A 25,950-nucleotide genomic window follows, 5' to 3' on the forward strand; every position below is an offset into this window, starting at 1 on the left:
TGAGAAACTTTATATAGTTTAAATTATCACTTAGATTTAACACTTTCCACCTGTCTTCAGAAATACTTGTATTTCCTTTAAGGTACTAAATATGATATACTAGTCGTGAGACAGAATAACATAATAGCTTCCTTTGCATTCTATGAATGCTTGTAAACACCGTTTTCAGTAATTTTTATATGAATCTTGATTTGTTAGTGTCTTAGAAATATCTTCATTAATGATATTTATAATACATAATTTACATTTGCTTGGTTTTTTGAAATCCAGTTCTTAAAATTATTTTTTTAGTTGATGAGTCAGATGACATCCATCCTTTTCCATTATTATATATTACTAAATACATGTTATAACATTAAACCAATTATGTTCCAATGATAATTTCTGTAATCACGTTTCAAACTAAGTTTCAATACGTAGAAACTTCTGCTTTATAAGAAAGAATTTGATATTTGAGAACTGTACGTACATTTGAATTGTAGATAAATCAGTTTTTAAGTTCTATATACCTCTTGTCAAAAGAAAGGTTTAAGAGGGAACATTTTACTTAAACAAAGTAACAATACTCATTTTACAGAAGAGGAAACTAAAGTTCAGATGAGACATTTAGTAAGAAGAAATGGAGGGATTCAAACCAACCCTCTTCAGGTCCAAAGCACATACAAGGCTGGCAATGTTTGTCATAGTTTATTGCCCATTTATTCACTTAACAAAAATTGCTAATTCTACTAAGTTCAGGGGTATAGCTGAAAGATACAGAGTTGCTACCCTCAAGAAAAAAATCAGTCAGTAGATAGAAAAGAAAGTCAGTTACTACACCATCAATATGAAATAGATTGTGAAAATGCCCAGGGGATTTCGAGGGCATTCAACTTGGGGTAGGGACATGAGTGGGAGGAATAGGAAAGAGATGACAGAGAAGCAGGCAAAGAAGTCAAATTACAAAAATCCTTGAATATCATGCTAAAGAGTTTGAATTTTATCATGGGGGAAATGGGGAGCCATTCAGTTATTTTAGTCAGGAGAATGACATAATTAGATATATCTTTTTGAAAATCCACTCCCTTTTGACAGTCTTCAAGGGTAAATATGCAGTAGTAGTCCAGGAAAGAAACAAGAAGAACCTAGCTAAAAAAAAGTGGCAATGGGGATTGAAAGGACAAAAGAGACTCAATAGATAATTAAGGGATACAATTTCTAATGCTCAAAAAGGGAAAGGAAGGGGAAAAAATCCTGATTATCTCTGAGGTGTTTGCTTTAGTAACTGAATGAATGATGTTGCACCTTACAATGTTAGAAAACCTGGGAGCCTGGGATGTTAGGCTGGGGAGTGGGTAAGTGGAAGTAGTTGTTTGCCATATTAAGATGAGCTACTTAGTAGTTGAAAATACGAGTAATAATCTTAGGAAAAGAAATCTAGGCTACAAATATTGACTTGGAAATTCTCCAATTACATGTGACTAAGAGAATATATAGAATAAAAAGAAAATAGAACCCAGAATAAAACCTTGGCAAGAACCAACATTTTAGTGGGTGGAATGGATCACTGCAGTTAGCTGAACAGATTAAGAAGGAAATAATTGAAGAAAGGAAATGTATTAGATATAGTTCATGGAAATAAAAAGCTGAACCAATGAATTCATGGGGAACATGGAGAGAAATATCTGAGATAAGGAGGATAAGGCTGCAGAGTGTTTACATTCTTGTAACTGCAAGAGTGAGATGAGCCAAAAACACAGCTGGAATGAAACACTGAGGAGCAGAAGGCCCAGCCGAAATTGAACTGTGCAGGCAGAATTATAGCACTCCACCCCCACATTAATAATATTTTAATTAAAAAATAGGTGCACAGAAATGAAATGAACAATACTTACTGGCTTCATAGAACATGATCTAATTGGCTCTTCTGGGAGGGCAAGAAAGGATTGGTTCAGGATGGATTTGTACAGTGAGTAAAGGACAAGATAGTGAGGTGATTGACTTGGGCTATAAATAAAATGAACTATATTAAGCCTGCAAGCTTAAGAAATTCTTTTTTTTTTTTTTTGAGACGGAGTCTCGCTCTGTTGCCCAGGCTGGAGTGCAGTGGTGCAATCTCAGCTTACTGCAAGCTTGAGAAAGTCTTATGTACAGGAGACCTTCTTATCTCCAGCTGATGTATTTAGAGTCTGTGTATATACCTACATGCTGTGTGTCCATATCCCTATCACCTCACCTACCTATAGCCATCAGTACAGGACTACAAGACTGTGGAATTATTCCCATGTGAACTGGTTGCTGCTATTGGCAACTCTGTTAGCTTACAGCTTTTCTTGATTTCCTTGCTCCATATCTTAAGAGGATCAAGTGCATTCAAAGCAATTAAGAATTGGAAAGGGATCCAATACTGCAAGTCTTCTTAGTGCCCTTTCCATTCCATTCTAGCTCTCATTTCTAATATTTTATCCACATGGCAGCCAGAGTAATCTTTTAAAACTTTAGTTAGATGCTGTCTACTTTGAATATTCAATGGCTTTTTAAATGGATTAAGCTTTATAATGAAACTCTATCATGACCCACACACCCTGCATGAGACTGCTGTCTACCTCAAACTTCATCTCATGCCACCTCCCCAGTCCCAGATCTTTTGAACAAGCTATCCCCTCAGGCTCAAAGGTTTTTATTTTTTCCTTTTTTTTTTCCCTGATTTTCACAAGCTGCTTCCTTATCCTTCAAGCGGCAGCCTAAACTATCTCCTTACAGGCACTTCCCTAACTATACTGTGAAAGGAAATCCCCTGTTATTGTTTATCATTGTCCTCTGTTCATTTCCTTCATAACACAAACAGTACTCATGTATTTCTTTGTTCACTTGAATATTACCTGTAAATTCCACAAATGCAGAAATTAAGTCTTTATTTACCTATTCTCAATGCTTGGTAAAGTGCCTGGCATGCAGTGGACGCTCAATAAATTTCTGGTAAAGGAAGGAAGGAGAAGGGAAATAATAAGCATAGTCAATAATTTAAAAGACTGTAAAGAAATGGCAAGGTTGGGAAGAAAAAGCAAGAATCTTCCGGAAGAATTGAATGGTCAATAATATTATCTGACAATTTCTAAAATTAGGTTTAAATGTTAAATTACTATAATTAATCCAGTCAGTATTAGGAACTTTTAAAAGTGAAACCATAGTAGAGCAATATTCCTAAGAAATATCTGCTAGAATTAAGCTCCTCTGAAAAGCAATATATGAAACTCTTCACAAGTAAACACTCCAGTATTTGAGAAAATAATCTTAATTAACAAACATAATACATCATTTTACCTTTTGAAAATCAGAACACATATTAATCAATAGGGAAAGGTCCAAGGAGCTACATGATAAGAGTGCTGCTTCTCTGAGCAACTCAGAGTAGAGTTGGAAAACATAATCAATCTAAGATAAGAAGACTCAAGATTGGTCTAGGAATATGTATTGGCTATTTTCATGTGTCAACCTAGCTAGGCATAGTACCCAGATGTTTGGTCAAACATTCTAAATGTTTCCATGAAGGTAGTTTTTAGATGATACTAATATTTAAATCAGTAGATTCTGAATAAAACAGATTACCTTCCACAATGTGTATGGGCCTCATCCAGTCAGCTGAAATCTTATTAAAAAAGACTGACCTCCCCCGAAAAAGAGGAAATTCTGCCAGCAGACTGTCTTCAGACTCAAACTGCAGATTTTAGACTTGCGAGCCTCATGGGACAACTCCTTAAAATGTATACACACATACATATACACACATATACATACATACATACACACACACATATATACTATTGGTTTTTTTTCTCTGGAGGACTCTTACTAATGCAAAGTATTAGGAGGAAGAAAACAAGTTCAAGCCCCAACTCTGGCACTTACTATCTGGTGATACTTTCCTCTGAATGATTGTTTTACATTATAAAATGAGCAGGTTTTAAAAATCAACAAATAGCAAATGTTACTGACTCAATCTCTACATATCACAGCTCAACTATTGTTTCCAAATAAATGTGGACTCAAAATGTACAGAAAATAATTTTATATAACCTCTTCTTCATTTATTCACTTTAAAACTAGTACAAGCACCCAATTAATTAAGTATAAATAGACTGTTGTTCTGATAAACTCCAAAGTACTTTTCATGGTAAAAAGCACTGGAAAGAATCCTAAGGTAACACTGATCTCATCAGGCAGATGGCATTTATTTGGCACGTTGACAATAAAAATGAACTTATTTAAAGAGGGAAATAATATACTTGCACATTTTCAGCTTTTAAAATAAATTACCTCATTTCATAGTGAAAATGTTTTATTTCACAAGGCAGCACTATTTTTGTAAAATATGATATTCTCCAAATTATTATAAATGCCATTAATTCAGCCACCAATCATATTAAGATCAGGGTTTATACTGTTAAATGAGAAACTTCTTTGCTTAGAAAAAAATAAAATTTGATATCCTTAAGGATTTAAGTAGATAACATTTAATTTGGAATCCTTCTATCAACTATTTTATAAATTTTACCATAGCAAAGATAAAATATTATTACAAAATATACAATAAAACATATAGTATTGAGTTAAAATTGACAATTTGCTGCACCCATGTTGCTGCAAAGTACATGATTTCATTCTTTTTATGGCTGTGTAGTATTCTATGTGTATACGCACCACATTTTCTTTATCCAATCCACTGCTGGTGGGCATCTAGGTTGATTCCATGTCTTTGCTATTGTGAATAATGCTACAACGAACATACCAGTGCATGTGTCTTTTTGGTCGAATGGTTTATTTTCCTTTGGGTATATACCCAATAATGGGATTGCTGGGTTGAATGGTAGTTCAGTTTTCAGTTATTTGAGAAATCTCCAAACTGCTTTCTACAGTGGCTAAAATAATTTACATTCCCACCAGCAGTGTACGAGCATTTCTTTTCTTTGTAACCTCACCAACATCTGATTTTTTTTAACTTTTTAATAATAGTCATTGTGACTGGTGTGAGATGGTATCTCACTGTGGTTTTGATTTGCACTTCTCTGATGATTACTGATGTTGAACAGTTTTTCATGTCTTCTTTTGAGAAGTGTCTGTTTTTTGCCCACTTTTTAATGGGATTGTTTGGTTTTTGCTTGTAAATTTAAGTTCCTTATATTAATAGATTCTGGATATTAGAGCTTTGTCAGATGCATAGTTTGTGAATATTTTCTCCCAATCTGTAGGTTGTCTGTTTATTCTTTTAATAGTTTCTTTTGCTGTGCAGAAGCTCTTTAATTAGGGTCCTTTTTTCGTTTTTGTTGCAGTTGCTTTTGGGAACTTAGTCATAAATTATTTGCCAAGGCCAATGTCCAGAATGGTATTTCTTAAGTTTTCTTCTAGTGTTTTATAGTTTTAGGTTTTACATTTAAGCCTTTAATCTATCTTGAGTTAATTGTGAAAGGAAGGGATTCTGTTTCAATATTCTACATGTTGCTAGCCAGTTATCCTAGCACCATTTATTGAATAGGGAGTCCTTTCTCCATTGTTTGTTATTGTTGACTTTGTCAAAGATGACCTGGTTGTGGGTATGTGGCTTTACACCTCATCTAGTGATTAAGTTCTACATTCTGAGGCTATGCCATGCAAGCATACACTTTCTTCTATATGAACATCTTTCAAATAATTGAAGGCTTAACTATCAAGTCTTTCCTTTTAAGCTAAACATTCCTATTTCCACCAACTGTTTCTCACATGACAAGTTTTCAGTAACTGTCACTGTTATTGTCACTTTCTCTGGATATCAATGACACTTCAAAACCATGGTATGCAAAACTAAATACAATATTCGAGATGTGATTTGGGTAGAGGATGCAAAGTGATATAAGAACTATGCCTCCTTTTTAAAAATTCTTTATTTTTAGTAAAGAACAGTGAGATTTATAATCTTCCTTAAAAACAAATACTCTTTTTAAAGATGAGGAAATAATGCCCAAATTAATAGACTGCCATAAATACCACCTGAGATAAAACTTGGCAATTTTTCTTAATTCTCCATATGCTATGTGTAAACTTAAGTCAAAACACCTGAACGTACCACACAGATTGTACAAAAGTTATTTTTGGATCCTAAACTAAATTTCCATTCAAGTTTTCCACATTTAAAATCTCTAGATGAATATGGAGAGCCGATGAACTGTTACTTTATATTTTTAATGGCATTTTACAGTAAAAGATAAGTTTCACTGCCTTGAAGATTTATACGTCTACGCACAAATTTAGACAACCCTTAGATCTTGATGTAAAGAACTGATGTTAGAAACATGTCTACATTTTTTCCATTCTCCAAATTTTTCCTCATTAAGGCAATGCTTAGGAAAGAAGACAGTTTGGTATTTTAAACTACTTCTGGGCACTCACTGAATTTCCAGTACTTAAGATATAGAATACTCTACCTCACTCCTATTTAGCACAAGTCATATATACATTTTCATAAAAATAACTTTTATTCTGCTTGGAAAAAATAATTAGTTTAAATTCATAATTTAAGAAATCATCATCTATATCTCTATAATAAATAAAAATCCACTTTTAATAAATAATTATCTTTAACTACAAAATCAACTGAGGTAACAGTTAAGACTTGAATTAGTCCAGACATTCCATCTGACTTGTTTCATATCTTTGAAAAAAATTACACCATGTATTTCTTTTTCTCATACCTTAAAGTAGGGGTAAGCCAGTTTCAAGGGAAATGAAATAAATGGACCAAATAATATTACAGAATAAGTATAAATCAAAATCAAAGGCTTATTACCATAGATAAATAGTGAAAATGTTTTTAATATTTAACATTAAAATGATCACTTTTCTGGAAGCATTAAAAGCTAGTTGCCCTCTTAAACATCAACTATTTGATGTTTAAGAGAATTTCTAGAAATACAGACAATTATAACAAAATAAAAAATAAAAGTCACATGCTAAACCAGAACTATAAGCCAAAAATATTCCCTGGTTTTCAAAAGTTTCCTAGATATTCCTAAGGATTCTAAAGTAGTTTAATTTAAAAAAGGCAAATCCAATTAAAAATAGTTCTGGTTCACCTGGGCAGCTCTAGTATCCAGGACTACCTAAAGGTTTAGGACTGCCTCTCACCCCTTCCCAGAAACTCCCATTCTGGTCCATGAAAAAAGGCTAGCTCCACACATCTCAGAGTGAGAGGACCTAGGACAGCAAGGCATGTCTACTAACCTCTGGGCACTGAATCAACTGACAGTTTACATTATAATTGTCAAATAACAAGTAGAATAGCATTAAACTATTGAAAGTTCCTGCAACAGACTGAATGTGTCCCCCAAAATTCATGTATTTTGAAATCCTGACCCCCAATATGATGGTATTAGGAGATGGGGCCTTTGGGAGGTGATTTAGGCCATATGATTAGTGCCCTTTATAAAAGGGACCCCAGAGAGCTCTCTGCTTTCTGCAACGTGAGGAAATAACAGGAAGCTGGCAGTCTACAACCCAGAAGAGGGTCCTTACTGGAAAGCAACCACGCTGACACCCTGCTCTCAGACTTCCCAGCCTCCCCAGAACTGTGAGAAATGAATTTCTGTCACTGATAAAGTACCCAGTTTATGGTAGTTTATCATAGCAGCCCAAATTGACTAAGACAGTGCCACAGTCTTATTTCAAGCATTAAAAATTTAATTTGCAGTTATTAAAACTGGCTGTGAAACCATGTTTCTTTTCCATAAACAACTTAGGCTCATTTTACAATCACTGAGTTATTGAAGTACTTATAGCTTAATCAAGCAAAATTACCATACCATACAGTATATAATTAAAATAGATACATGAAAAAAGCCAGGTAGATTTAAAACTAGAGAAAATTTATAAAGCAAGAACAATATGAAAGTTTCATTATATTAACCTCTCCTTTGATAGTATAATTATAATCTGTACTATACAACGAGAACATTTTTGGTTAAAGGAGTATTAGCTTTGGGAAGGTTTCTTTTTACATTTATTCTTTTTAAGCTTCTTTTCTTGCTGCTATTTCACAAATTAAACATCAATTAAAACTGACACCCTCATCATATAAGACAACACTATGGGCTATACATCTGCAGAAACTATATGTTTCCATATAAGTAAACATTATTTAGACCCTCATGTTTGTATACATCTCCATTTCTAATCGTGGTCATGATGGCATACTAGACATACTTCCTCACATGAAATTACATATTAAGTAATAAAGAAAGCTTAGTCCCCACAATTTAAATAATGAATACTCTACTTCAAATCCTTTTGGGATTCTAAAGGAAATAAGTATAAAAATGCATTATTAAATGTAGGAAAAATATTTTAATATTTTGTTTTGGCTGATTTTAATATTTCCTTTTATGCATTTTTCAAAGAATTTTCTAGGAAGACATAAAGCAACATAATGGAACAACTTATTGACTAATTCTTTTTAACAATTACTTTTGTTGATAATCTGTGACATTGCCAAAATCAAAACAGATACCATTCGTGCAGCACATATAATATTAATATGCAAGTTAAAATGTTAGGACATTTTAACTACATCATCTACCAAGTTCCAGATCCATATATTTAATTGACTATTAGACCCTTCTACTTGGAAGTCCGAAACACATTTAAAATTTAGCATGTCCCAAAAATAAACTTTCTTTTCTTTTTCTTTCCTTTCTTCCTTCTTTCCTTCCTTCCTTCCTTTTTTTTTTTGGACAGGATCTCACTCTGTCCCACAGGCTAGAAAGAGTGCAGTGGTGTAATTACAGCTCACTGCATCCTCAACATCCCAGGCTCAAGCAATCCTCCCACCTCAGCCCCCTGAGTAGGTGGGACTATAGCACGCACCACCACACCAGTTGATTTTTGTATTTTCTGTAAAGACGGGGTTTCACCATGTTGCCCAGGCTGGTCTTGAACTCTTAAACTAAACTGATCCGTCTGCCTTGGCCCCCCAAAGTACTGGGATTACAGGCATGCACCACCACATCTGGCCCCCCAAATGAACTTTCTATCTCTCTCAAATATTCCAATATTCTGAAATTTGGTACATGATACCACAATCTATTTGATCAAGAAACCTGAGAGTTAAAATTATACCAGTAACAATAACCACCATTTGAGAATATCTACTTTGTGCCAAGAATTAGGCTATGTATACTACTTTATTAAATCTAATTCTCACCATTCAAAAGACTCACAAAATAGGTTATTATTCTAAGAAACTTGGCTGTAAAGAATCTTTTTTGATTTCATTTAATTCTGTTTTTCTCCAGTTAATTCGAGCACTGAATACTTTTTTCATCATAACTTTTTGGTGAACCAAAAGTACTATCTAATCAAACTTTGGAAAATGCTTCTTTTAAAAAGACTATCACCAGCAAACTGTTGTATTAGCTCATTCTGTTTGCCAAAATCAAATCAGTGGTGCCCTGTATAAGGATGAGTGAATGAGGCCAGATGCGGTGGTAATCCCAGCACTTTGGGAGGCCAAGATGGATGGATCTCTTGAGCCCAGAAGTTTGAGACCAGCCTGGGCAACATGGTGAAACCCCAGCTCTACTAAAAAAATACAAAAAAATAGCTGGGCATGGTGGTGCATGCCTGTAATCCTAGCTACTTGGGAGGCTGAGGCAGGAGAATCACTTGAATCCGGGAGACAGAGGTTGCAGTGAGCAGAGATTATGCCACTACACTCTAGCCTGGGTGACAGAGTGAGACTCTGTCTCAAAAGTAAAATAATAATAATAATATTTCATGTCCTCACAGTCTGATTCCTTAGTGTGTCCAATTTCTTTAATATCTATTATTTATGAGAATTTGCCTGTTAGCATAATACACTTAAACAGTAGGAGAAATAAAGATTATATGAATACTTTATATTTTTTCTGTGTGAGTGAATGAATAAAGTAATTCTAAGTTACAATTTCTCTGAGATAGCAAACAACATATACTAATTGAACACCAACCAGGCATTAAATCTAAATAGCATGAGAAATACAAGAATAATTTATAAAATATGATCCCTTTTCTCTAGAATTTTACTTACAATATAGTTGAGACAAAATGAATGGTAAAATACCAAAAAAACAGATCAAGCATATTTTGATAGAACATTAGAAATATCAAAAGTAGGAACATGAATAATTGCCAAATACATGGTATAATAATATGTAGCTAATCAGAACTCAAAAGAGAGGGAGATAAATCTTAGAAAATGCAGTGTAAAAATACAGTAGGTAGAAATATTTCCAAAGAAGTTATATGAATCTGCTTCAGCTATCCATTACATATACCTGCATTATCAATTTGCAGAAAACTTTTCTTTAAAAAAAAGTTTCACAAAATACAGGTAACTTAAGTAACACAGGAAGCTCAGCAGTCTGCAAAAATAAAAAAAAAAATTGTCTCTAGCTTCCAAAAATCACACCTCTATGTACAAACTAACCACAATTAGGCACACTGACATAAGCAGATTGCACTACCAAATACTGGAAATTCTGCAAGAATTAAAATGATTTCGGCACATGGGAATAAGACAATCCAAGCGAGCCCAAAAATATTCTTAAAAATGATTATCTATGACATCTGAAAAACCCACATAAAGTATCTATGCCAAAAAGAAAAGAAATTCCACACAAAACCAATAAAGGAGTATCCCAGCAGTCATTTAGAAAAAAATTAGAAATACGGTTATTCATACAAGAATTTATTTTGGGATACCTAGCCAGATTTTAATGCCATATTCAAAATAAAAAAATCTAGCCACAGAAAAGTATCACAGCATTAAGATACATACTTAAAAGTATGATCAAAAGATATATTTGTTTGTAACTATGTTAAGCTCAGTACTTGAAGTACTTTTAACCCTTAATTTTCACTATGTTCCTAAGTGCTACCACCAAAACCATACACAGTAAGTATTAATAGAATAAGGGGTATAATTCTCCTCTTCACTTTCTGAATGTCTTAAAATACCTGCTGTTGTAGTAGATAAGGTTTACTAGACACTTTTCCATTTTGGCTTAAAAATAAAATTCATCTATATGCTAATGGAAGATCCATCATTCACATCATTCACGCATCCACAATTCCCTTTCTAATTAAATACAACACCTAAATTTAAGCCACATAACACAATTTCAAACAGGATTTTTTTATAATTATAGGAGAAGCCATAATTATTTTACTGGAAAACTTCAAAATCATCAAAAGTTCAAGAAAATATACACACTAAATTGCAATATGACAGAAAACTGTCATGAAGAGATCATACAGAAATGGATTTAGAAACTTTGCTTTCTCTAGCAGTAAAGCATTCCTTACTTAAATTTCAAATATTACAGAAAAGTTGAAAGAATAATACAACAAATACCTCCACCTAGATTCAACATTTGTAAGCATTTTGCCACAAATGCTTTCCTACCTCTACCCTCTTCCCCATTTCTTCCTCTCCCCCTCCCCAGCCACCCATCTCTCTCTATATATATACATATATACATACATAAAAACACATACTTATATAAGTTTATATATATGTAAACATATTTATTTCTAAGAAAGTTCCCATAATCAAATACATTAGTACTTCTACAGAAAAACAAATGACAGTAAGTGAAATAAATAGACTATTATAGTCTTATAAATCCAGTTTACTGCTGGACTTATAAGACTATATATAGTCTTTGGTACTGCTGCCAATGATTTCAGATAAGATCAGGTTTTGTCCCAAATGAGATTTTTTTACAGTCTTGATTTTCAAAGTTTTGGAATTCAAAAGTATGGATAAGATGCGGCAGGCTGTAGTATTACTCCCAATTTACAGATGAGGAAACCGAAGCACAGAAAAGTTAAATACCTTATACCAGACTACAACAAGTGGCAAAACCAGTAAGTAAAAATAGGCTACCTACTCCAGAGCCCATACTTTCAATCACTACTCTAGGAAGCTTTCAGTCCAGCAGAAGGTCTTTGTGGCTGTCTTCATTTTTATCCAGAATCTGGATTTTAAAACTTACCCCTAACTCCATTATTACCCTCCTAATCTGAACCACTATCATCTCTCACTGGGTTTATTTTAATAGTCTCCTAACAAGGGTCCCTGATTCTTCTTTTGCTTTAGTCTATTCTCAACACAGCAACCAGAATGCTCTTTTTAAAAATACTAGATCATGTCATGTAACTGCGTAAGACCATTTAGGGCTTTTCATTTAGCTAAGAGTAAAAGCCAATGTTCTTCCAAACAGCCTACAGGAAGCCCTAAGACATATACCCACTCATTGACCCACCTCTGTGAACTCATCCCCTACTCTCCCTCTCTCTCACTCCACTCCAGACACAGTGGTCTCCATCCTGCTTCTGGTCTCCAGGCATGTTCCCACTGAGGGCCTTGGCATTGGCTGTTCCTTCTGTCTGGCATGTTTCCACTCATATCTACATGACTTCCTCCCCAACTCCTCCAATATCATCTTCCAATGAGACCCACAGTGTCCACTCTGTTTAAAATTACAACTGCCTCCTGCAAAGCAACTGACACTCCTGATCCCCCTTTTCCTGTTCTCTTTCTCCATAACACTTATCACCTTCAAACATTCTAGACAATTTATTTATTTTATATGTTTGTCTCTTCTTCTTTTGGAATATATGCACACCAAAGTGTCCTAAGCCTGAGAAAACCATCTAATATAGTAAAAGCTCTCAAAAAATAATTGTTGCAGCTCTCTGCTCCTCCCATTCAACAGACAGCTGCATCTTCTCGTGCATTGCCAGCTGCATCCCTGAGACACCATGGTGAAGGTGAAGGCTGGAGTCAACAGATTTGGTTGTATTGGCTGCCTGGTCACCAGGGCTGCTTTAAACTCTGGTTAAGTCGATATTGTCGCCATCAATGACCCCTTCATTGACCTCAACAACACTGTCTACATGTTCCAGTATAATTCTGCCCATGGCAAATTCCATGGCACCGTCAAGGCTGAGAACAACAGCTGCATCTTCTCGTGCATTGCCAGCTGCATCCCTGAGACACCATGGTGAAGGTGAAGGCTGGAGTCAACAGATTTGGTTGTATTGGCTGCCTGGTCACCAGGGCTGCTTTAAACTCTGGTTAAGTCGATATTGTCGCCATCAATGACCCCTTCATTGACCTCAACAACACTGTCTACATGTTCCAGTATAATTCCGCCCATGGCAAATTCCACGGCACCGTCAAGGCTGAGAACGGGAAGCTTGTTATCAATGGAAATCTCATCACTATTTTCCAGGGGCAAGATCTCACCAAAATCAAATGGGGCAATGCTGGCACTGAGTACATCATGGAGTTCACCAGCATCTTCACCACCATGGAGAAGGCTGGGGCTCACTTGGAGGGAGGAGCCAAAACGGTCATCATCTCTGCACCCTCTGCTGATGCCCCCATGTTCGTGATGGGTGTGAACCATGAGAAATATGACAACAGCTCAAGATTATCAGCAATGCCTCCTGCACCACCAGCTGCTTAACGCCCCTGGCCAAGGTCATCCATGACAACTTTGGTACCGTGGAAGGACTCATGACCATCGCTGCCACCCAGAAGACTATGGATGGCTCCTATGGGAAACTGTGGGGTGACGGCCATGGGGCTCTCCAGAACATCCTCTCTGCCTCTACTGGTGCTGCCAAGGCTGTGAGGAAGGTCATCCCTGAGCTAAACGGGAAGCTCACTGGCATGGCCTTCCGTGTCCCCACTGCCAACATGTCAGTGGTGGACCTGACCTGCCGTCTGGAAAAACCTACCAAATATGATGACACCAAGAAGGTGGTGAAGCAGGCGTCAGAGGACCCCCTCAAAGGCATCCTGGGCTACTCTGAGCACCAGGTGGTCTCCTCCAACTTCAACAGACACCCACTCTTCCACCTTCGATGCTGGGGCTGGCATTGCCCTCAACGACCACTTTGTCAAGCTCATTTCCTGGTATGACAATGAATTTGGCTGCAGCAACAGGGTGGTGGACCTCTGCCCACAGTGTGGCTTCCAAGGAGTAAGACCCCCAGACCACCAGCCCCAGCGACAGCACGACGGGAAGAGAGCGGCCCTCACTGCTGGAGAGTCCCTGCCACACTCAGTCTCCCACCACACTGAGAATCTCCCCTCCTCATAGTTTCCATGCAGACCCCCTAAAAGGGAGGAGCCGAGGGAGCCCCACCTTTTCATGTACCATCAATAAAATCCCCTGTGCTTGCCAAAAAAAAAAAAACTTGTTGCTATTGAGATTTCTATCGACTTCAACTCAAATACTTCGTTTGATTCAAGCCCTTCTACATTTATCATTGTTAGTACTTAGTATCTCTCAGAAACAAAATTTCAATAAACATCCTTGAATTTAAAACAGCTTTTTATTATGCTTGTATTAAGATTCTTTATATAGAAATATATTTTTTGGACATGCACAGATGTTTATAATACATTACCCAGAGAAGACAGTAAGGCAAGAAATAGTTCATACAGTATGACCCTTCATCTATAAGGAAAATACTGTAGGTTTCTTGCCTTTAGTAAGGCAAGAAATAGTTTATGTAGTATGATTCCTTCATCTACAAGGAAAATAGTATGTATTGTGTCTGTTGGCGTTTTTTGGTACGATGACATTAGGCATTTTTAAGTTTCTTCCTTCTGAATATTTATTATTTTTTCAATAATGAATATATAATTATTTGTATAGTTAAAATAATATTCTTATATACCCAGAAAACAATTACTTTGCAATACAATTAACAGTAAATTCTAACTCCTTTTCTTCAATGAAAAAAAATTTAGTCATTGTTAATGTAACTATTACATAAATGTAACATGGATATGTGCTATTAATGTAGTTTAGTATGAAGTTTGATGGAACAAATAAGACCTATTGTATATTTCAGAACAGCTAGAAGAAGATAATCCGAATGTTTCTAGCATAAAGAAAAGATAAATATTTAAGGTGATAGATATCTCAATTACACTGATTTGATCTTTACAAATTATATGAATGTATTAAATTATCACACATATCCCCAAAATATGTATATCTAATATGTATCAATAAAAAAATTTTAATGTAGTTTAGATCAACTATAGTTACTTATCTAATTATTCTCTTTATACAAAGGGATGATGCGGCCAACTCTTTTCTTTATACAAAGGGTAATGCAGCGCAGTATGATAAATATTACCACTATATCAATACAGCTACATGGAAATCCACATTCAATATTGCTTTCCGATAATACCTCTGAAATATTCCTTTTAAGGACAGTACTTTCAGTAGGCTTTTGTGTTTGTGGTAGATACTTTAAACATTTCTTTTTTATCTTTAAATTCAGAGCCAAAAGTAGAAAGACATATGCAACTTGAACTTTTGTTATTGCTGTTGTTAAAAGTATTAATATGTATTTATTTCGATTGTTTCTTCTTTCAAAAAGTATTGAAACTAATATAATGAATAAGTAGTGCTAGAAAAATTGTGTTCTATATTTTATGCATCTCAAAGGTGACTACTATTTCATTTAAGGGAAAGAACAAAAGAGCTACTTTAAGATCATTTAATTTTGACTCAATTTAGAAAGTAATATTCTCATTTCAGAAAAATTTGGAATCTTTGTTTTAACTTGTAAAAATATACATGTAATAGTGGTAATTAACATATCAAAGGCAAGCTTAATTATGATCAGTATTACTTTTTTGTTTTTTTGGTTTTTTTTTTTGAGATGGAGTCTCACTCTGTCACCCAGGCTGGAGTGCAGTAGCAATCTCAGCTCACTGAAGCTTCTGCCTCCTGGATTCCAGCAATTCTCCTACCTCAGCCTCCCTAGTAGCTGGGATTACAGGCAACTACCACCACGCTCAGCAATTTTTGTATTTTTAGTAGAGATAGGGTTTCACCATGTTGGCCAGGCTGGTCTCGTACTCCTGACCTCAGGTGATCTGCCTGCCTCAGCCTCCCAAAGTCCTGGAATTACAGGTGTGAGCTACCATGCCCAGCCAATCTCTTTCAAAACAAAAAGGAAATTAATTTGCTATCTGTAAAAGGGAACCCAAATTGATTTGGAAATACTTTCTATTATCTTAAATCTTTTCTTTTTTTTTTTTTTGAGACAGAGTCTCGCTCTGTTACCAGGCTAGAGTGCAGTGGCGTGATCTCGGCTCACTGCAACCTCCACTTCCCAGATTCAAGCGATTCTCCTTCCTCAGCCTCCTGAGTAGCTGGGACTACAGGCACATGCCACCATGCCCAGCTAATTTTTGTATTTTTAGTAGAGATGGGGTTTCACCATGTTGGTCAGGATGGTCTCAACCTCTTGACCTCGTGATCTGCCCGCCTCAGCCTCCCAAAGTGCTGGGATTACAGGTATGAGCCACTGTGCCTGGCCAAATCTTAAATCTAGAGAGAAATCTAGAGACTGGAAGTCCTAGCCAAAACAATTAGGCAAGCAAAAGAAAAAAAAAAAGGCATCCATATTAGAAAGGAAGAAGTTAAATGGTCTCTGTTTGCAGACAATATCATCATATACATAGAAAACCCTATAAACTCCAACAAAAAACTGTTACAACTAATAAATTCAGGAAAGTTCCATGATACAAAATCAACATATAAAAGTCAGCAGTGTTTCTAATACACTAACTATAAACTATCCAAAAATATCAAAAAAGCAATCCCATTAATAATAGCTACAAAGGGTGGGTGTGGTGGCTCATGCCTGTACTTTGGGAGGCATTTTGGGAGGCTGAGGCGGGTGGATCACATGAGGCCAACAGTTTGAGACCAGCCTAGCCAATGTGGTGAAACCCCATCTCTACCAAAAATACAAAAATTAGCCAGGTATGGTGGTGCGCACCTGTAATCCCAGCTACTCAGGAGGCTGAGCCATGAGAATCACTTGAACCCAGGAGGCAAAGGTTGCAGTGTGCCAAGATCATGCCACTACACTCCAGACAAAGTAAGATTGTCTCAAAACAATAATAATAATAATGATAGCCACCAAAACAACAAAATACTTAGGAATAAATTTAACCAAAGAGGTGAAATATCTGTATGTGGAAAACTACAAAACATTGATGAAAAAAATTTAAGACACAAATAAATGGAAAGATGTTCCATTTCATGGATTGGAAGAATTAATATTGTTAAAATGACCACACTACCCAAAGAGATCTACAGATTCAGTACAATCCCTATCAGAGTTCCAATGACATTTTTTCACAGAAATATAAAAATAAAGATTAAAAAATTCATATGAACCACAAAAGGCCCCAAATGTCCAAAGCAATCTTAGGCAAAAAGAACAAAGCTAGAGGTATCATACTACCTGATTTCAAAATATACTGTTAAGTTATGGTAATCACAACGGCATGGTACCAGTATAAAAACAAACACAGAGACCAAAGAAAGAGAATAGACAGCCCAGAATGAAACAGAATAGACAGCCCAGAAATAAATCCATGCATTTGCAGTCAACTGATTTTTTACAAAAGTGAAATGGAGAAAGAACAGTCTCTTCATTAAATGGTGACGGGAAAACTGGTTTTCCAAATGCCAGAAGAATGAAATTAGACCCTTATTTCACACCATATTAAAAAAAATCAACTCAATAGGTAAAGAAAAATGTAAGACTTGAAACTATAAAACTTCTACAAGAAAATTTAGGGGAAAAGCCTCATGATAGTAGTTTGGGCAATGATGTTTTTAGATATGACCCCAGTGGCATAGGCAAAAGCAAAAATAGACAAATGGAATTATAATAAACTAAAAAGCTCAGCACAGCAGTCAGTCAACAGAGTGAAGAGACAACCTATGGAATAGGAGAGAATATCTGTGAACCATACATCTCATAAGGGATTAATTCAAAATATATAAGGAACTCAAATAACTCAGTAACAAGAAAACAAATAACCTGTTCTTAAAATGAGCAAAATACCAGAATACACAGTTCTCAAAAGAGGACATATAAATGACCTACAGGTTTATGAAAAATTGCTCAACATCACTAATCATCACAGAAATCGAAATTAAAAGCACAGTGAGATATCACCTCACACTTGTTAGAACGGCTATACCAAAAAGATGAACAATAAGTATTGGCGAGGAACCTGAGGAAAGGAAACTCTTATTCACTGTTCAGTGGGAATGTAAACTAGTAAATCTATTATGGAAAACAGTATGGAAGCTTCTCAAAAAATTAAGAATAGAACTACCAAATGATCTAGTAATAACACTACTGGGTACATATCCAAAGGAAATGAAATCAGTATGTCTAGGAGATATCTGCACTCACTCCCATGTTCACTACAGCATTATTCACAATGGCCAAGATATGGGATCAAGGTAAGAGTCCATTAACAGATGAATGGATAAAGAAAATGTGGTACACATACACACTAGGATACCACTCAGCCTTAAAGAAGAAAGAAATTCTGTCATTTGCAACAATACAGATGAACCTTTAGGATATTACGTTAAGTGAAATAAGCCAGACACAGAAAGACAAATACCACATGATCTTACATGTGGAACCTAAAAATAGTCAAACTCATAGTAGCAAAGAGAAGAACGGTAGTTACCAGAGGATAGGAGAAAGGTAGGGGGAGCGGGTTGCGGGATTAGGGAAATGCTGGTTAAAAGGATACAAAATTTCAGTTAAACAGGAGGAATGAGTTCAAGACATCTATTGTACCACATAGTGACTATTGCTAAGGATAATTTATTATATACGTGAAAACTGCTAAAAGTAGATTTTAGCATACTCACCACAAATAAATGATATGAATGTGAAATAATGCATATGCTAATTAGCTTGATTCTACCATTTCACAATGTATACATGTTTCAGAACATCCTCTGTACATCATAAATATATGCAATTTTATTGTCAAATTTAAAATAATAATAATAAATTTTAAATTCGTTAAAAAACTTACAAAAATAAATAAAGACACAAGTTGCATATAAAATAAAAGTTGACATACCTTGGCTTCCGAAACACCAAACTATATTGTTGGCAAGCCAGACCCACAGTGGGAGTATAAACAATAGGCATGAATTTCTCAATGTCAGATGTCAGCACTCTATAAAAGAGTTTTTCATTTCTATCTTGGAGATCCATTAAGAGAAGATACCTGTAAAAATTGGACATAATTAGATCTACATCCCATAAAGTCATGAAATAGCTACTTAGAAATCTAATTAAATATTTTCAACCAAGTATAAAGTACATTTAGGTTACATAGAAAACATCTGATTAAAAAAGACTTAAGAAATATTCTTTTCTTTTTCTTTACGACAGAGTCTTGGCCGGGCACAGTGGTTCATGCCTGTAATCCCAGCACCTTGGGAGGCTGAGGTGGGCGGATCACAAGATCAGGAGTTCAAGACCAGCCTGGCCAACATGGTGAAACTCCGTCTCTACTAAAAATACAAAAGTGGCCGGGCATGGTGGCTCACGCCTGTAATCCCAGCACTTTGGGAGGCAGAGGCGGGTGGATCACGAGGTCAGGAGTTCAAGACCAGCCTGGCCAACATGGTGAAACCCCATCTCCTGAGTAGCTAGGATTACGAGGGCATGCCACCACACCCGGCTTATTTTTTATTTTATTTATTTATTTATTTATTTTGAGACAGAGTCTCGCTCTGTCGCCCAGGCTGGAGTGCAGTGGCATGATCTTGGCTCACTGCAACCTCTGTCTCCTGGGTTCAAGCGTTTTCTCCTGCCTCAGCCTCCCAAGTAGCTGGGACTACAGGCGTGCACCAACAAGCCCGGCTAATTTTTTTTGTATTTTTAGTAGAGACAGTTTCACCATGTTGGCCAGGCTGGTCTTGAACTCCTGACCTCAAGTGCTCTGCCTGCCTTGGCCTCCCAAAGTGCTGGGATTACAGGCATGAGCCACCGCACCCAGACAAGAAATACTCTTAAATATTGCAAAGAATAAAGAACCATAAACTTAACTAATATCATGCAAACATTAAAATCACTGCTGAAATAGCACAGTTTTATTTAATACTTGAAGAGACTTTATCCCTATTTTAAAAGAGATGAAAATATAACTATAGATTTAGTATTAACTAAGTTAATAGAAAGATTTCATCCTTTGACTTGCAGTATTGAATAACCAAGGGAAATGACATACAGGAAATAAGTAAGAGAATGTAACACTCATCCTAAAAATAACTAAGGTAGGGAAGTTCAAGAAACTTTTCTTTGTATCTGTATCTTATGGCCTTTTTCTTTCTAGAAGCATTTCTGACCCAGAGTTATCTTTGTAAATATAAACCTCTTCATGATATCTGTAACCTTCAATAGTTTATAGAATAAAACGTAAACTGCTCAGTTCAACTTAAAAGAATCTTGCAAAACTACTCAACAATCTTACCAGCCATTTTGAATTGATTTTCATTCCCTAGAATAGTTGAAAATGCACAGAATTCTGAGTAAGAGATGCATGGATTCCAATGTTTGGGCAATTAGATAGACATAACCCAGAAAATAAACATGTGGAAGACAAAGAGTTTAACTTTAGACATGATAAAATTAATTTGGCAATGTGGAAATTAGCATTGCTAAATCAATGGTCCATTCTCAGACCTCATCTTACCTATCAGAATATTTGACACAGGAGATATTCCTCAGGGCTCAATACACTTTCTTTCATTGACTTCCAATCTATCATATTCTCATGGTTTTCCTCCTATCTCTCTGGTCATTCCTTTTCTGTTTCCTTGCTGTTTTCTCCTTGATATGGTTTGGGTGTTTGTCCCTTCCAAATCTCATGTTGAAATGTAATCCCCAGTGCTGGAGTTGGGTCCTGGTGGGTATTTGGATCATGGGGGTGGATCCCTCATGAATGGCTTAGCACCAATCCCTTTGTGATGAGTTCTTGCTCTGAGTTGATGTGAGATTTGGTTGGCACTTCCTTCCTATCTTGCTCCTGTTTCCACCATGATTGTAAGCTTCCTGAGGCCCTCACCAAGGCAGCAGATAATTGGTGCCATGTTTGTACAACCTGCTGAACCATGAGCCATTTAAATCTCCTTTCTTTATAAATTACCCAGCCTCAGGTATTTCTTTATAGCAATGCAAGAACAGACTAACATACTCCTCTTCTCTGAAAGCTTTCTAACACTCATGTGAAATACATGAATAAATTGTGTTGGCTTTACTTTCAAAATATATCCAAAATCTGACCACCTTTATTGCTACCACCCTAGATCTAAATCACCATCATCTCTTGACTGGATTATTCTAATGGTCTCCTAAAAGCCATCCCAGCCTACATTCTATTCTCAACATTGCAGCCAGTCTTTCTGAAATTATAGCTTAGATCATGTGGCTCTTCTGGTCAAAAACCTCAAGAGGCTACCCTTTCCATTCATAGTATAGCAGAAGTCTTTAATAGGCTACAAAGCCATACCTAATCAACCGCCCATTACCTCGCTAACTTCCTTTCCCAATTTACCATTCTTTCCCTAACTCATTCTGCTCTAGACACAAGTCTCCCTGCTGATTCTTGAACATGCCAGCTACAAAACGCTGTTCCTCAGATTTCTTCATGGCTAACTGCTCCACCACCTTTGATTATTTGCTCAAAACTCACCTTCTCAATGGAGATTACCCTTATCACCCAACTCAACAATGCAAACTGGCCATAACTCCCCTCAGCATTCTCAGCTCCTCTTTACCCTGCTCTACCTTTATTTCCCCCATCCCAAGACACTAGCCATTTTCTAGCATATTTTATAATTTACCAATTTGTATTACTATTTACAAAATTTAATAATTTGTATTTAAAAATAAGCCAGGCATGGTGGAGCATGCCTGTAGTCCTAGCTACTTGGAAGGGTGAGGCAGGAGAACTGTTTGAGCCCAGGATGTTGAGACTACAGTGAGCTATGGTCACGTCAGTGCACTGCAGCCTGGGCAATAGAGTGAGACCCTTTCTCAAAATAATAATAATTTTTAATAATTTATGTAAATTTCATGAGGTCAGAGATCATTGTCTATAACCCCAATATCTAAAAGAGTACCTGACACTGAATTGATGTTCAATATATATCGAGGAACAGTCTGTAGCAAATATATGAAGGTCACCAGCTCTTAGCAGGTAGCTGATAAAATGGCCCAGGAAAAGAATATAAAGTAAGGACACAAGCAGCTAAAGGAAGATGTTATGGAACAAATGAAAGAGAAGGTTGCGAAGGAGTTTAAAAAGAAGCAACTGTATACACGTCGGACAAACTGAGTCAGCCTTTTTGCCCAGCCACCCCATCACATCCACTGGGCTCATGAACAAAGTGGCCATGGTGGCAGGGATAGAGGTTATGCATAGGCTCAGCAATATGGACTTTCACTCACCAAGGCCAACCTGGCTATTATAGCCACTTCTGAGTGTTCAATCTGCAGCAGAGACTAACACTGATTCCCTGATGTGGCACCATTCTCCAGGGTAATTAGCCAGCTAGCTACCTGGTGGCAAGTTCATTACACTCAACAGCTTCCATTATGGGAAGGACAACTTTTTTTTCTGGCATAGACCCTTAGTTTGGATCTAGATATGCTTTCCCTGCATGCAATGCTCCTGCCAAAGCTACTATTCATGGACTTACAAAATGCCTTACCTACCCTCATGGTATTCCACACAGCATTGCTTCTGATCAAGGAACTCACTTTAGAGCAAACGAAGTGTGGGGAATGAGCACATGCTCATGAAACTCACTAGTTTTACAATGTTTCCCAACAATCTGAAGCAACTGGCTTGACAGAACAGTGGAATGTACTTTTGAAGACTCAGTTACCAGCAAAGTGCCAATACCTTGCAAAGCTGAGGCAAGGTTCTCCAGGAGGCTGTATGTGCTCTCAATCAGTGTCCAAAAAAATGGTGCTGTTTTTCTCATAGCCAGGATTCATAGGTCTAGGAATCAAGGGGTGGAAATGGAAATGGCACCTCTCACTAACAACCCTAGTGTCACACTAGCAAAATTTCTCCTTTCTACCCCTGTGACTTTATGCTCTGCTGGTCTAGAGGTCTTCATTCCAAACGGAAGAATGTTTCCATCAAGAAACACAATAATAAACCCATTGAACAGGAAATTAAGACTGCCACCTGACCACTTTGAGCACCACATGCCTCTGAATTAACAGGCCAAGAAAGGAGTTACTGTGCTGACTGGGAAAAATTGATCCTGACTACCAAGAGGAAACTAAACTGTTACACTACAGTGGAGGCGGGAAAGAGTATGTCTGAAATACAGGAGACCCCTTAGGGTAGCTCTTAGTATTACCATGCCCTGTGATTAAAGCTAATGAAAACAACAATCCAATTCAAGCAGGATTACTAGTGGCCCAGACCATTGAGGATTGAAGGTTTGAGTCACCCTCACCAGGTAAAGAACCACAATCAGCTGAGATACTTGCTGAGGGCAAAGGGGATATGGATTGGGTCATGGAAAAAGGTAGTTATAAACACCAGCTATGACCATGTGATCAATTAAAGAAAAAGAAGACTGTAATTGCCATAAGTATTTCTTCCTTGTTTTGCTATTAATATGTGTGTATACATATAAAAGCAACAATCCATATGCAAATTTCAGAAAATATCATTTTCTTCCTTCTCTTATCACCTTATCTGATAACATAAGATATACTGACTCTGCATCATAGTATTTAAGTACTGCTAACATTACATCATAGTGTTTAAGTTAAGGAATATCGACGAGAGTAAACATCACCCAAGGATTTGGCATCTTCTTTTGAGGATAGGGTTGGTGCATTTTTGGTTGTATGCAAGATAGTTTATTGTGTTAGGTGGAAGTATGGATCTTGTTATTGCCTTTATTCAAAGATTAAGTATGATTTGAGGAGATTCATATGGGTGGTGTCATAGTCCATTCAGTTTGCTATGACAAAAATACCATAGACTAGGTAGCTTATGAACAACAGAAATTGATTTCTCATAGTTTTGTAGGCCAGGAAGTTCAAGGTCAAGCTGCCAGCAGATTCTGAGCCTGATAAGGACACATTCCACATAGACAGCACATTCTCGCTGCATCCTCACATGAGGGAAAGGGAAAGGCAGCTTTCTTAGGCCTCTTTTATTTTTTTATTTTTTATTTTACTTTAAGTTCTGGGATACATGTGCAGAATGTGAGGTTTGTTACATAGGTATACATGTGCCATGGTGGTTTGCTGCACCTATAGACTGTCATCTAGGTTTTAAGCCCTGCATGCATTAGGTATTTATCCGAATGCTCTCCCTCTCCTTTCCTCCACCCCACGACAGGCCCTGGTGTGTGATGTTCCCCTCCCCGTGTCCATGTGTTCTCATTGTTCAATTCCCACTTATGAGTGAGAACATGTGGTGTTTAGTTTTCTGTTCCTATGTCAGTTTGCTGAGGATGATGGTTTCCAGCTTATCGATGTCCCTGCAAAGGACATTAACTCATTCTTTTTAATGGCTGCATAGCATTCTATGGTGTATATGTGCCACATTTCCTTCATCCAGTCAGTCTATCATTGATGGGCATTTGGGTTGGTTCCATGTCTTTGCTATTGTGAATAGTGCCGCAGTAAACATACGTGTGCATGTGTCTTTATAGTAGAATGATCTATAATTCTTTGGGTATATAACCAGTAATGGTATTGTGGGGTCAAATGGTGTTTCTGGTTCTAGATCCTTGAGGAATCGCCACACTGTCTTCCACAATGGTTGAACTAATTTACACTCCCACCAACAATGTAAAAGCATTCCTATTTCTCTACAGCCTCACCAGCATCTGTTGTTTCCTGATTTTTTTAATGATCGCCATTCTAAGTGGTGTCAGATGGTATTTCATTGCGGTTTTGATTTGCATTTCTCTAATGACCAGTGATGATGAGTTTTTTTTCATGATTTTTGGCCGCATAAATGTCTTCTTTTGAGAAGTGTCCGTTCATATCCTTTGCCCACTTTTTGATGGAGTTGTTTTTTTCTTGTAAATTTGTTTAAGTTCTTTGTAGATTCTGGATATTAGCCTTTTGTCAGATTGACAGATTGCAAAAATTTTCTCCAATTCTATAGGGTGCCTGTTCACTCCGATGATAGTTTCTTTTGCTGTGCAGAAGCTCTAAGCTCTTTGGTTCAATTAGATCCCATTTGTGAATTTTGGCTTTTGTTGCCACTGCTTTTGGTGTTTTAGTCATGAAGTCTTTGCCCATGCCTATGTCCTGAATGTATTGCCTAGGTTTTCTTCCAGGGTTTTTATGGTTTTAGGTCTTACGTTTAAATCGTTAATCCATCTTGAGTTAATTTTTGTATAAGCTGTAAGGAAGGGGTCCAGTTTCAGTTTTCTGCATATGACTAGCCAGTTTTCCCAACACCATATATTAAATAGGGAATCCTTTCTCCATTGCTTGTTTTTGTCAGGTTTATCAAAGATCAGATGGTTGTAGATGTGTGGTGTTATTTCTGAGGCCTCTGTTCTGTTCCATTGGTCTATATACCTGTTTTGGTACCAGTACCATGTTGTTTTGCTTACTGTTGCCTTGTAGTATAGTTTGAAGTCAGGTAGCATGATGCTTCCAGCTTTGTTCTTTTTGCTTACAATTTTCTTGGCTATGCAGGCTCTTCTTTGGTTCCATATGAAATTTAAAGTAGTTTTTTCTAATTCTGTGAAAAAAGTCAATGGTAGCTTGATGGGTATAACATTGAATTATAAATTACTTTGGGCAGTATGGCCATTTTCACAATATTGATTCTTCCTATCCATGAGCATGAAATGTTCTTCCATTTGTTTGTGTCCTCTCTTATTTCCTTGAGCAATGGTTTGTAGTTCTCCTTGAAGAGGTCCTTCACATCCCTTGTTAGTTGTATTCCCGGGTATTTTATTCTCTTTGTAGCAATTGTGAATGCGAGTTCATTCATGATTTGGCTCTCTGCTTGTCTATCTT

The 25,950-nt window shown here is 36.6% G+C and overlaps 1 protein-coding gene across 1 annotated transcript in view; it reads right to left on the reverse strand.

The window, feature by feature from the left end:
* Window positions 1-25,950, reverse strand: part of ME1 (malic enzyme 1) — a 220,650-nt gene that overhangs the window by 168,965 nt on the left and 25,735 nt on the right. The window contains exon 3 of the mRNA NM_002395.6: window positions 19,001-19,150. Coding sequence (NP_002386.1) covers window positions 19,001-19,150 — 150 coding nt within the window. The remainder of the gene's footprint in view (window positions 1-19,000; window positions 19,151-25,950) is intronic.

The sequence above is a fragment of the Homo sapiens genome, chromosome 6, assembly GCF_000001405.40.
Source record: "Homo sapiens chromosome 6, GRCh38.p14 Primary Assembly".
NCBI classification, from domain to species: Eukaryota; Metazoa; Chordata; class Mammalia; order Primates; family Hominidae; genus Homo; species Homo sapiens.